General features: G+C 36.0%; 1 protein-coding gene across 31 annotated transcripts in view; it reads left to right on the top strand.

Moving 5' to 3' along the window:
• L3MBTL4 (L3MBTL histone methyl-lysine binding protein 4) overlaps positions 1-14,525 on the top strand; it is a 460,543-nt gene that overhangs the window by 177,456 nt on the left and 268,562 nt on the right. Inside the window, exon 1 of one of the 31 annotated variants that reach the window (XM_011525767.3) lies at positions 14,013-14,189. The exons of the other annotated variants lie outside the window; for them this stretch is intronic. The gene's annotated coding sequence lies outside the window, so the exon portion shown is untranslated. Of the gene's footprint in view, positions 1-14,012; positions 14,190-14,525 lie in introns of those variants that run through there. 31 annotated transcript variants of the gene reach the window in all.

Below are 14,525 nucleotides of genomic sequence, written 5' to 3'. Positions count from 1 at the left end.
TTCCTTACCCATAATGAAGACGAACTGTGTTTATAAAGATGCATTAGGTGCTGGGTGTGGTGGCTCATCCCTGTAATCCTAGCACTTTGGGAGGCCAAGGTGGGCGGATCACCTGAGGTCAGGAGTTCAAGACCAGCCTGGCCAATATGGTGAAACCCCATCTCTACTAAAAATACAAAAATTAGCTGGGTGTGGTGGTGGGCACCTGTAATCCCAGCTACTTGGGAGGCTGAGGCAGGAGAATTGCTTGAACCTGGGAGGCGGAGGTTGCAGTGAGCCGAGATCGTGTCACTGCACACCAGCCTGGGTGACAGAGTGAGACTCTGTCTCAAAAAAAAAAAAAAAAAAAAAAAAAAAAGATGTACTAGGCAGCCATTGAAACAAAGTTGCTAAAAATTTTTATCCAACTAAATGAGTACCATTGTTGAATACTGATACTTAAAACTAGCTATTTCTACTTACATAATTTATCTAATAACAATTCATTAATTGAATGCTATGATTATTAAATATAATTAACTTTGGAGTTCAATGTAGAAGTACAGAAATCTAAAGCAGTAAGACTAACTTAACAATGGGTCTCCAAACTTGCCAGACTTCCTTCCCCAAACCAAATTAACATCTTAGCTAAACATTTAAATAAGGACTCTATCTAGTTAGTTATTTTTTTCATTACAGAAATGTTATGAAATGTTTAGAGACTTGCTCTGTCAAATCCCTTTGTTTTTAATTTAAAATGAATTAGAAATACAGGCTGTATAATCTTAGTATTTTTAACACAAGTGTTCAAGCAGACAGATATTTTCTTTCAATAAAAAATGTACAGAAAGAAATGTAGAGTAAGGGATGTGCCATTCCAGAATGGAACAAATGTTGTTTTGATTCAAATGATTCATACTTTTGCTGTTTTTTAATGTTTTCGCCTTAAATATAGAAAAATATTAGGACTTCTCATCAAATTCTTGAATTTAGTGAAGATAATTTCAAGAATTAAAAACAATAAAGAAGCCAAATCAAAATCACAAATTATTCAAAAATGCCTGTTTGGTCTAGAAAGGTTTATGAAATATTTAACACCTTAAATTTTGATTTTGATATATAGAGAGATTTGGAGTCATTTGTTTTATTTTTCTGTAAAAGTGGCTAAAACTAACTTTAGAATGATGTTCCTTAAGATGAGATGAAATGCTTGTCAGATCTGAGTGTGTGGTTTGAGTTGGTGTGCCTAGAGACATGGAATGCTTCTTCCCATTTTCATCTGGTGAAATATCTTCTTCTCTGCTTCCAGCTTATTTTCACTACACTTCATGAATAGGCTCAGTGTGTAAGTCTCTTGGCGTTGTGTGAGCCTAGAAAAATTCTGCGCAGCACATTTGGAATTAGAGTTCCAGGATTATGCCATCATTAACATGCTAGTTCTGTCTGCAAAAGCATTGCCTAATCTAAGGTCATAAAGATTTGTTACAAAAGACTATTATTTCCCTATTGTCACCCTTATTGAAAATCCATTGCTCATAGAGTGTGAGTTTATTTCAGGTCCCTCAGTTCTTTTTCATTGGTTCGTATGTCCAATTTATACCAGTATCATGCTTTGATTACTGTAGCTTTGTAGTAAATTTCCAAATTGGAACACATGAGTCCTCCAGCACCGTTCTTTTTCACAATTGTTTTTGCTCTTCTCAGTCCCTTGCATTTCTATCTGAATTTTAGAATTAACTTGTGAATTTCTGCAAAAAAGCCAGCTGGGGTTTTGATAGTGGTGCACTGAATCTGTAGATCAATTGGTGGAGTATTGTCATCTTCACAATATTAAGTTTCTCTTCCCATGAACACAGGACTTCTTTCCATTTATAAAGGCCTTTTAAAATTTTCTTTCAATTATAATTTGTAGTTTTCAGTTTACAAATCTAGTACTTACTTTATTAAATTTGCTACTATTTTATTCTTCTTTTATTGATGTAAAATTCACACAGCATACAGTTAACCATTTTAAAGTGTGCAATTTGGTGGTATTTAATGTATTCACAATGTTATGCAACCACCAGCTCTCTCTAGTTTCAAAACTTTTTTATTCCCTGTAAAAACTTCTGTGATTATTAAGTAGACATTCCCTATACCCGTCCATACCCCTATTTCCCTGGCACCTTTAATCAGCTTTCCACCTCTATGACTTTGCCTATTCTTGATATATTACATGAAAGGAATCATACAATATGTGACCTTTTGTATCTAGCTTCTTTCACTTGACATCGTATTTTCAAGGTTCATCCAAGTTGTGGCATGTCTCAGTACTTCATTCCTTTTTATGGCTGAATAACATTCCATTGTATGTACATACCACAGTTTGTTTACCCATCGATTTGTGGATGAACATTTGGTTTAGTTGTACCTTTTGGTTATTATTAGAAATGCCACTGTAAGCATTCATGTACAATTTTCTCTGTGGACATACGTCTTTATTTCTTTTTTAAAATTTGTATTTATTATGTTACTTTAAGTTCTAGGGTACATGTGCACAATGTGCGGGTTTGTTACGTATGTATACATGTGCCATGTTGATTTGCTGCACCCATTAACTCGTCATTTACATTAGGTATTTCTCCTAATGCTATCCCTCCCCCATGCTCCCAACCCCACAACAGGCCCCGGTGTGTGATGTTCCCCACCCTGTGTCCAAGTGTTCTCATTGTTCAATTCCCACCTATGAGTGAGAAAATGTGGTGTTTGGCTTTCTGTCCTTGGGATAGTTTGCTCAGAATGATGGTTTCCAGCTTCATCCATGTTCCTAAAAAATGACATGATCTCATCTTTTTTTATGGCTGCATAGTATTTCATGGTGTATATGTGCCACATTTTCTTAATTCAGTCTATGACTGATGGTCATTTGGGCTGGTTCCAAGTCTTTGCTGTTGTGAATAGTGCCGTAATAAACATACATGTGCATGTGTCTTTACAGTAGCATGATTTATAATCCTTTGGGTATATACCCAGTGATGGGATCGCTGGGTCAAATGGTATTTCTAGTTCTAGATCCTTGAGGAATCGCCACACTGTCTTCCACAATGGTTGAACTAGTTTACAGTCCCACCAACAGTGTAAAAGTGTTCCTATTTCTCCACATCCTCTCCAGCACTTGATGTTTCCTGACTTTTTAATGATCGCCATTCTAACTGGCATGAGATGGCATCTCATTGCGGTTTTGATTTGCATTTCTCTGATGGTCAGTGATGATGAGCATTTTTTTGTGTGTCCATTGGCTGCATAAATATCTTCTTTTGAGAAGTGTCTGTTCATATTCTTTGCCCACTTTTTGATGGGGTTGTTTGTTTTTTTCTTGTAAATTTGTTTGAGTTCATTGTAGATTCTGGATATTAGCCCTTTGTCAGATGAGTAGATTGCAAACATTTTCTCCCATTCTGTAGGTTGCCTGTTCACTCTAATGGTAGTTACTTTTGCTGTGCAGAAGCTCTTTAGTTTAATTAAATCCCATTTGTCAATTTTGGCTTTTGTTGCCATTGCTTTTGGTGTTTTAGACATGAAGTCCTTGCCCATGCCTATGTCCTGAATGGTACTGCCTAGGTTTTCTTGTAGGGTTTTTATGGTTTTAGGTCTAACATGTAAGTCTTTAATCCATCTTGGATTAATTTTTGTGTAAGGGGTAAGGAAGGGATCCAGTTTCAGCTTTCTACATGTCGCTAGCCAGTTTTCCCAGCACCATTTATTAAATGGGAATCCTTTCCCCATTTCTTGTTTTTGTCAGGTTTGTCAAAGATCAGATGGTTGTAGATGTGTGGTATTATTTCTGAGGGCTCTGTTCTGTTCCACTGGTCTATATCTCTGTTTTGGTACCAGTACCATGCTGTTATGGTTACTGTAGTCTTGTAGTATAGTTTGAAGTCAGGTAGTGTGATGCCTCCAGCTTTGTTCTTTTGGCTTAGGATTGTCTTGACAATGCAGGCCCTTTTTTGGTTCCATATGAACCTTAAAGTAGTTTTTCCCAATTCTGTGAAGAAAGTCATTGGTAGCTTGATGGGGATGGCATTGAATCTGTAAATTACCTGGGGCAGTATGGCCATTTTCACGATATTGATTCTTCCTACCCATGAGCATGGAATGTTCTTCCATTTGTTTGTTTCCTCTTTTATTTCATTGAGCAGTGGTTTGTAGTTCTCCTTGAAGAAGTCCTTCACATCCCTTGTAAGTTGGATTCCTAGGTATTTTATTCTCTTGGAAGCAATTGTGAATGGGAGTTCACTCATGATTTGGCTCTCTGTCTGTTATTGGTGTATAAGAATGCTTGTGATTTTTGCACATTTATTTTGTATTCTGAGACTTTGCTGAAGTTGCTTGTCAGCTTAAGGAGATTTTGGGCTGAGATGATAGGGTTTTCTAAATATACAATCACGTCATCTGCAAACAGGGACAATTTGCCTTCCTCTTTTCCTAATTGAATATCCTTTATTTCTTTCTCCTGCCTGATTGCCTTGGCCAGAACTTCCAACACTATGTTGAATAGGAGTGGTGAGAGAGGGCATCCCTGCCTTGTGCCAGTTTTCAGAGGGAATGCTTCCAGTTTTTGCCCATTCAGTATGATATTGGCTGTGGGTTTGTTATAAATAGCTCTTATTATTTTTAGGTACGTCCCATCAATACCTAATTTATTGAGAGTTTTTAGCGTGAAGGGTTGTTGAATTTTGTCAAAGGCCTTTTCTGCATCTATTGAGATAATCATGTGGTTTTTGTCTTTGGTTCTGTTTATATGCTGGATTACGTTTATTGATTTGCGTATCTTGAACCAGCCTTGCATCCCAGGGATGAAGCCCACTTGATCATGGTGGATTAGCTTTTTGATGTGCTGCTGAATTTGGTTTGCCAGTATTTTATTGAGTTCTTATAAATAATGATCGGGAGGAAATCCTTTCAAAAAATTATATATGTTAGTTATTTTTTATGACTGTTGTAAGTAGAATTACTAGATTACTGAGTATGGAAAAAAATTTTAAGTATTTCATAAATATTTTCAGAGTATCCTCCATAAACTTTTTTTTCTTCTGATAACAATATTAGAAAATTCAGACATAACAAAGAAAATAAAATGAATAAAACTGGATTTTTCTAAGGTAGGCACAATTTTCTGTGAACCTTGTGTGAGCAAGGACTATGTTTTGCTCACATTTTATTCATGACTCCTGCTTCATAAAATATGCAATAAATCATATTTATTTTATTAAAATATTCTAACTAAAATGATTCATAGATTGAATCAGTAATACAAAAACCTCCTGACAAAGAAAAGCCCTAGGCTTGACTAGTGAATTCTAGCAAACATTTTAAGAACCAGTACCACTCCCTCTCAAACTTTTCCAAAAAACAGAAGATGAGGGAACACTTCCTAACTTATTTTATGAGGCCAACATAATTACCATAATACCAAAGCCAAACAAAGAAACAAAAAGAAAACTGTAGACCAATATTCTTCAGGAACACTGATGCAAAAATCCTCAATAAAATACTAGAAAACCCAAAATCAACAGTATATGAAAAAGATTACATACACCATAACCAAGTGGGATTTATTACTGAAATGCAAGGATGGCTCAACATATGAAAATTAATCAGTGTAATATACCACGGCAACAAAATGTAGAGAAAAAACCACATGCTATTGCAATTAAGGCAGAAAAGCATTTGACAAGATTCAACACCCTTTCATGACAAAAACATTCAACAAGGTAGAGACAGAAGGGAACTACCTCAGCATAATAAAGGATATATATGAAAACCCACAGGGAATATCATACTCAATGGTGAATGTCTGAAAGCTTTTCCTGTAAGATCAGGAACAAGGTAAAGATACCCACTTTCATCATTTTGTTTCAGCATAGATCTAGCCTGACTAATTTGGTAAGAAAGTGAAATAAAAGGCATCCTAACGGAAAGGGAGAGGTAAAATCATATCTGTTAGAAGCCAAAATTATTATGTGTGTAGATAACCCTAACATAAAAAAATCTGGTAGAACTAATAAACCAATTCAACAAAATGGCAGGATACAAAATCAACACACAAAAATCAGTTGCATTTCTTTACTGTAACAATAAACAATCAGAAAGGGAAATTAAGAAAACACCTCAATTTGCAGTAGCATCAGAAATAATAAAATACTTAGGAATTAACCAAGAAGTAAAAGATTTGTACACTGAAAAGTATACAACATTGCTGAAAGAACTTCAGGGTGACACAAATGAGTGGAAAGCCATGTTCGTGTATTAGAAAATGTGATATTGTTAAGGCATCCCATTGCCAGACTTCAAACTATACAAGTCTACTGTAACCAAAACAGCATGGTACTGGTACAAAAACAGACACATAGACCAATGTAACAGAATAGAGAGCCCAGAAATAAAGCCATACACCTACAACTATCTGATCTTTGATAAGTAGGCAAAAACAAGCAATGGATGGAAGGACTCCCTCTTCAATAAAAGGTGCAGTGATAGATGGCTAGCCATATACAGAAGATTGAAGCTGGACCCCTTCATTATACCATGTACAAAAATCAACTCAAGATGGTTTAAACACTTAAAAGTAAAACCTACAAGTATAAAAACTATGGAAGATAACCTATGAAATACCATCCTGGATATAGGCCCTGGCAAAGATTTGATGACAGAGACACCAAAAGCAACTTCAGCAAAACCAAAAATTGACAAATGGGACCTAATTAAACTAAAAAGCTTCTGCATAGCAAAAGAAATTATAAAGAGTAAACAGACAACCTACAGAATGAGAGAAAATATTTGCAAACTATGCATTGACAAAAGTCTAATATCTGGAATCCATAAGGAACTTAAACTAACAAGCAAAAAACAAACAACCCCATTAAAAAAGTGGACAAAGGACATGAACAGACATTTTTTCAAAAGACATATATGTAGCTGACAAGCATATGAAAATATGCTCACTCATTAGAGAAATGCAAATCAAAAACCACAATGAGAGACTATCTCACACCAGTCAGAATGGCTATTATTAAAAAGTCAAAAAAATAACAGATGCTGGTGAGGTTGCAGAGAAAAGTGAACACTTATACATTGCGGGTGGGAATGTAAATTAGTTCAGCCATTGTGGAAAGCAGTGTAGTGATTTCTCAAAGAACTCAAAGTAGTGTTAGTAGTATTACCATTCAATCTAGCAGTCCTGATATTGAGTATATACCCAAAGGAATATAAATTGTTCTTCCATAAAGACACATGCATGTGTATGCTCATCTCAGCGCTATTCACAATCTCAAAGACATGGAGTCAACTCAAATGCCTGTCAATGGTAGATTGGATAAATAAACTGTGGTGCATATTCACCATGGAATACTACACAGTCATCCAAAAGAATGAGATCATGTCCTTTATAGCAATGTGGATGGAGCTGGAGACCATTATCCTAAGTGAACTACCAGAGGAGCAGAAAACAGAATATCCCATGTTCTCACTTGCAAGTGGGAGCTAAACATTGAGTATACATGGACAGAAATAAAACAACAAGAGACACTGGGGGGATTCTTGAGGGTGGAGAGTGGGAGGAGAGAGATCGAAAATCTACCTGGGATAGTTTTTACCTCTCTTATTACCTGAGTGATGAAATGATGTTTACACCAGGCCCCTGTGACATGTAATTTACCTGTATAACAAACCTGCACATGTATGCCTGAACCTAAAATAAAAGTTTAAAAAAAGTCAACCTACCCTAAGCGATATAAGCAGATTCAACTTAATCTTTATCAAAATTCCAAAGACATTTTGAGAATAAAAAGAAAAATCCATCCTAAAATTTATATTGACTCTCAAGGGACCCTGAATAGTCTATACAATCATGAAAAAGAACAAAGTTGGAGGACTCACACTTCCTGATTTCAGAACTTACCGAAAAGCTACAGCAATCAAAACAGTGTGGTCCTCACATGGGGATAGAGATGGAATAGAGAGTGGAGTAGAATAGAGAGCTCACAAATACACCCTTGCAGTTATGGTGAAATGATTTTCAACAAGGGAGCCAAGACTATTCAGTGGGGAAAAGAGAGTCTTCAACAAGTGGTGCTGGGAAAACTGGATATTCACATGGAAAAGAATGAAATTGGACTCTTATACAAAAACTGACTCAAAATGAATCAAAGACCTAAACATAAGAAAACCTAAGAACTAAAACTATTGAAGTTCTTAAAAGAAAACGTAGAGAAAAAGCTTCATGACATTGGATTTGGCAATGATTTCTTGAATATGACAGCAAGGGCACAGGTAACAAAAGAAAAAATAGACAAATTGGACTTCATGAAAATTAAAAACTTCCATACATCGAAGGACAATGAGTATCAACAGTGTGAAAAGGCAGCCTACAGAGTGGAAAAAATTTGCATATCATATATCTGATAAGGGATTAATATCCAGGGTATATATAGAGTTTCTAAAACTCAACAATAAAAACCCAAACAACCACAATTTAAAAAAACTTGAAAACAATTACCCACATACTTAGTTGTATTACAAGTCTTATAGATAAAAAACAGCATTCTTCTTCCCAACAGGGGCAAGCCTGTTACTTTTGATGTTTATCACTGTGTTCCTCAAGTATGTGTTCATACAGCTCCATTTTCCAGTACTGTCTCTTAATTTCTACTATTCACACGAACACTAACTTCCAACATTAATATTTAATTTTAAAAATATTTAGTGCATCTATTATAAGTATGAAAATTTTTTTAGCTTAGAGTTTCCTGTGATTCCATTTTCTTTCTTCTACCACTTTTATTTTCCCTGGAGTTAATAGTTACCTATTTGCCTTGTGTAGTTTTCTGTTTCTGGTATTAAGTCACTCTCACATTCTCCATCAGAAGAAAATTCAGATTAAAAATATTTTCCCCTCAGAGCTTTGAAGATATTGCTTTGTTGCTTTCTAACTTCAAGTTAGGCATTTGATGTCACTTCTGATCCTTTGTCCATGACAATGACCCCCATGTGCCCTGCTCCTGGAGGCACTCAGGGTCTTCTCTCCCCGCATCTCCATGATGGGACATTTCACAGGCTCTCCTGCGGCAGGAGAAAATACAGCTTTTCTGTAAGTGTGTGGTGGTGTTTCACTGTGGTTTTGTTTTGCCATTTCCCTAATAATTAATGATCTTAAGTAACATTTCATGTACTTATATGCTCTCCTTGAGTTAAATATGTATTCAAATCTTTTGTCCATTTTTTAAGAATTATTTTTCTTATTATTGAGTTTTGAGAGTTCTTAATATATTCTGGAGACAGTTTATTTACCAGATATGTATTTTGCAAATATTTTCTCTCAGTCTGTGGTTCATCTTTTCATTTTCTGAACAATATTGTTCAAAAAGCAGATTTTAAAAATTTTGATGATGCCCAATTAATTAATTTTTAAATGAGTCTCAGCTTTTTTGTGTACTAAGAAATCTTTTCCTATCAGAAGTTCACAATATTTTCTTTTATTCTAGTGAAGTTTTATATTTGTGAGTTTTACAATGAGATCTTTTTATATATGGTGCACTGTAGGGGCCAAGGTTTGATTTTTGTTTGGAATATGGATTTCAAGTTGTTTCAGGAACATTTGTGGAAAACGCTATTTGTTCTCCTTTGAATTACCTTGGCATCTTTATGGAAAATTAATTGACAATGTATGTCTAGGTCTACGTTTGGACTTTGTATTCTGTTCTATTGATTTATGCCTGTAACTTTACATTAATACCACGTTGTCAAGCTTATATAGCTTTACGGTGGCCTGTATCAGATAGTGTACAACTATTATGTGTCAGTTTTGAAAAAGCTGTTCTTGTCCTGGCATGATGGCTCATGCTTATAATCCCAGCATCTTGGGAGGCCAAGGCAGGAAGATCGCTTGAGGCCAGGAGTTTAAGACCAGACTGGGCAACATGGCAAGACTATATCTCTATTAAAAAAAAATTAGCTAGGTGTGGCGGCATGCACCTGCAGTCCCAGCTACTCAGAAACTGAGGTGGGAGGATCGCTTGAGCCCAGGAGTTCTAGGCTGGAGTGAGTTATGATTTGATTTCCTTGCAGTTTATTGATTTTAACACCCATATTTGTGAAGGATATTTGTCTGGAGTTTTCTTTTCTTAATTTTTAAAACTGGTTTTTGTATCAGAAAATGGTGATCTCACAAATGAATTGGAAATATTCCTCTCTTGGTGTACATTTTCTGGAACAGCAGGTTTAAAATTAGTATTATTTATTCTTGAAGTATTTGGTAAAAGTCATAAGTGAAGCCATCTGGGCTTGAGGTTTTGTTTCTGGGAAGGTTTTAGCTATGAATTCAATTTTGCTAATTTAATTTTGTTATCAAACAATGTACTTTGTATTATTTCAGTTCTTTAAAACATAATTTTCCCCTCCATGGCTCAGAATGTGTTTTTTCTTGTGAATGTTACACATCCATGAAAACAATGTGTATTTTGCTGTTGTTGGGTGGAGTGTTCCATCAATAATCAATTAGTTCAAGTCGGTTGAGTGTTGTTCATGTCTTCTGTGTTCTTACCAATTTTCTGTTTACTTTTTCCATTGATTACTGAGAGAGGATTAAGTCATCTGTAAGTGTGGATTTGTGTATTTCCCCTTTTTATTCTATAGTTTTTTGCTTTGTATATTTTGAAGCACTCTTATTAGGTGCACACACTTATAGAATGATTTTGTTCTCTTAAAGAATTGTCCCCTTTATTTTTATGTATTTTTCTTTTTCATCCCTGGTAACATTTCTTTAGCCATTTTAACTTTCTTTTGATTAATGCTTGTATTGCATATCTTTTTCCATACTTTTTAACCTACAATTTACCTATTTGTATATTTATATTTAAAGTGGGTTTCCAAAAATATGTAACATATTTATGTGTATGACTGAATTTAAATCCCTCATCTTGGTGTTAGTGTTCTATTTATCCATTATGGTTTTGGTTTTTTTAAATATTTTCCTGACTTTTTAAAGATTTTATTGGGTATTATTTAATGCTTCCATTTTACCTTCAGTATTGACTTTTTAATTATGCCTCTTAAAAATATTTATCAGTTGCTCTACAGTTTATGATATACCTATTATCGCAGTCTACTTTATTATATCACTTTTCCCACAGTGTGAGAAATAGTATAGCTGTTCCCATAGTACAACAGTTTATTTCCATTTTCTTTCCTGCCATTTCTCCTCTTGTTGTCTTTAGTTCTAGATGACTATTTTTCTTATAAAATGAGCAAATAAGGAAAACATGAAGTAAAAGCAATTTTACCTTCTATATGTTCTATATCTCGTAAAGGCTGTTACCGTATTTGTTTTAGATTATGACATTATCTTTTGTTTGTTTATTTTTTATTTTATTATTATTATTTGGAGGCAGAATCTCACTCTGTTCCTCAGTCTGGAGTGCAATGGTGCGATCTAGGCTCACTGCAACCTCTGCCTCCCAGTTGCAAGTGATTCTTGTGCCTCAGCCTCCTGAGTAGCTGGGATTACAGGTGTGCACCATGACACTCAGCTATTTTTGTACTTTTAGTAGAGATGGGGTTTCGCCATGTTGGCCAGGCTGGTCTCAAACTCCTGACGTCAAGTAATCCACCTGCCTCTGCCTCCGAAAGTGTTGGGATTACAGCATGGGCCACCACATCTGGCGGACATTATCTTTTACAGTGATTTATATTAAGCAGGTGTATTTTATTTTTACCTTTATGTTCACCATTTTCAGCACTTTTTATGTCTTTGTATGTATCCAAATTTCCATCTGGTGTTATGTTCCTTCTCTCTGAAGAACTTTCTTTATAATTTCCTGTAGCTTAAATTTGGTGGAAATGCATTATGTCAGTTTTTATTTGCCTGGAAAAGCCTTTATTTTGCCTTAACATTGTACAGACATTTTTGCTGGGTATATAATTCTGGGTTGAAAGGTTTCCTGTTCATTTTTTTTTTAAGGTGTCACTGTCTTATCTTCTGACTTGCATAGTTTCTGAGTAGAAGTCTACTGTAGTTCCTATGTTCCCCTTAATTTTTTTTTTTTTTTTTTAGATAGGCTGGAGTGCAGTGGCACGACCTTGGCTCACTGCAATTTCTGCCTCCCAGGCTCAGGCACTTCTCCCACCTCAGCCTCCTGAGTAGCTGGGACTACAGGTGTGTACGACCACACCCAGTTAATGTTTGTATTTTTGGTAAAGATGGTGTTTTGCCATGTTTCCCAGGCTTATCTTGAACACCTGAGCTCAACCTATCCACCTGCCTTGGCCTCCCAAAGTGCTGGGATTATAGGTGTAAGCCACTGTGCCTGGCCACCCTTAATGTATTTTTTATTTTCCTTGTGCTGCCTTAACATTTTTTCTTTACCTTTGGTGCTCTGGAAGGGAGCTTTCTCCAGTTTTGTGCTTCACTCCTAACCTTTCCCTTGAGCACTTGGGCAGGCCCATTATTCCAGACTGACAGGCTAGCCCCACTTGGCCTTTAAGTCTTTACTAAAATGTAAGCTGATTTCTTTTTACCCACTTGTATAGAATCACTGCTTCCTCGTATGCTCTGCTACAGGCAAAATACTTTGAGTTTCTCTATCTGTCCCTCTTTGGATTTCTCTTTACTTTGTTGCTTTGGAACTTTAGATCTCCTGTGGGCTCAAGAAAGTTTATGATCATTGTTAGGGAGCGAGTAACAGTCTTCAGTGGCTTTCTACATTCTACACAGAAATGGGAACGCTCCCCCCTACTTTCCAATAGCACTCTTATCTTATGGATCCTCTGTGATCTCTCTAAGGATATTCAATAAAGGTTTATTTTTAAAACTTTTTGGTTTAAATCTTCCTCACTTTATGTTTTCCTTGTTTTTTTTTTCGAATTTCCTTTTTTATTTGTTTTTGTATCTATTTATTGTGGTCCTCAAATATCTAGTTCATCTTAGTTATACTTTGATGTTTAAGAATAAGCTCCTGACAAGCTGGGTAAAATCTCTGGGTGCCCTGATGGAGCTTGTCAGCTTGTGAGCCTTCCTGTAGGGTGTTCAGATGGAAACCACGTGTTTTGTTTCTACACCCCCAAATAACATAACTAGGACTCTTGGGTCAGTTTCCACAGGCAAGGTTCCTCCATTCCTCTGACTGGTGTGTATGGTGAGAATGGATGACTTGGGAGGGTGCTGCTAGCTCTCTGAGATCCTGGCCATGGGAGTGGGTAGAGAGGTCATTGTTCTGTGAGTGGGTTTCATTAGCGCCTAAGATTTCCACATCTGTAACTTCTCTGTTTCAATCTATCTAGAGATTAAAACCTCCAGCCTTTTGCCTTAATGCATGAGGGATGGTTCCCCCGTTGTGTTGGGCAAGGTAGATGACTTCGTGGGGTCTACCAGACTTTAAGACCAGTGTCTGTGTTTAGCCCCACACTGCTGCCATTAGAAATATTTGGTGCCTGCAATTCCCAAGCTTTCCTGGATTCTATAACATAAACTAGCTACTTCTTATGTTAACAGATTTATGTGTTCTTCTTTAACAGATTTATGTTTTAGCTTTGTAAAGTTTTGTTAAGTCAGTTTTCATTTGTTGGTTTCTTTTTTACACTTCCAGGGATTTTTGTTGACATTTCTCATTTGCATTTGGCTTTTTACCTGTTCGCCTTGGGGCTTTATGTCTTCATATTAGTTTTGTTTTTATTTTTATTTTTTGCATAAATAACATTATATTCGTACTATTTTATAATTGCAGAGTTTTCTCACTTAGTGCCCCTTGGTTTCTCCTTCCACCCAGGTTAATTACTCCCACCGAGCAAATGGTAACTGATGCTAATCCCTTAATATTAGTCACCTTGAGCTAACTAGTATATCGAACCGCTCCAAAATGTTAGTGCTTTTAGCACATTTAAGATTTTGTTTCTTGCTCCTGTCACAGTATAATCATGGCTGATAGGGGCTAGTTCTGTTCCATGCAATTATTCTGGGATTATCCTCCAATTTCTTGGTAATCTTTCCATTTCAGCCGGAGAATAGAAAGAAGCTGATGGTTGTACATGGGAGGGCCAAACTTGGAGGTAGCTTATTACATCATTTCTACTCACATGGGTTGGCCTGAATTCAGTCACAGGACTACATGTAGCTACATAGGAGTCTAGGAAATGCAGTTCAGCCTTCTTACCAAGAGGAAAAGCCATCATCTTATACTGTACGTATTTTGTGGATTCTCATGATTGCATATCCATGTGCACATACATGCTCATATCCATGTGTTCATAAGCCCATGTTTTTTTTGTCATTGTTTGTGCTGTAAAAATTGGATTATATTAGGTACTTACTTTACATCATTTTTAACTTTGCTCAACTATGTCTCATGGCAAATTCCTTCCAACTCATCTGTATAGTTCAAATTCTTTCTTTATAATAACTGCATAATATTTCATAATGTGTTATATCAAAATTAACTCAGCATTTTTGTGTTAAACATTCATTTAAAAATGCCTTTATTGATACCTGTTGGCATTTAGAAGGGAACACAGCTAAA

Source organism: Homo sapiens, chromosome 18 (genome assembly GCF_000001405.40).
Source record: "Homo sapiens chromosome 18, GRCh38.p14 Primary Assembly".
NCBI classification, from domain to species: domain Eukaryota; kingdom Metazoa; phylum Chordata; class Mammalia; order Primates; family Hominidae; genus Homo; species Homo sapiens.
This window is presented reverse-complemented; position numbering and strand designations above follow the sequence as displayed.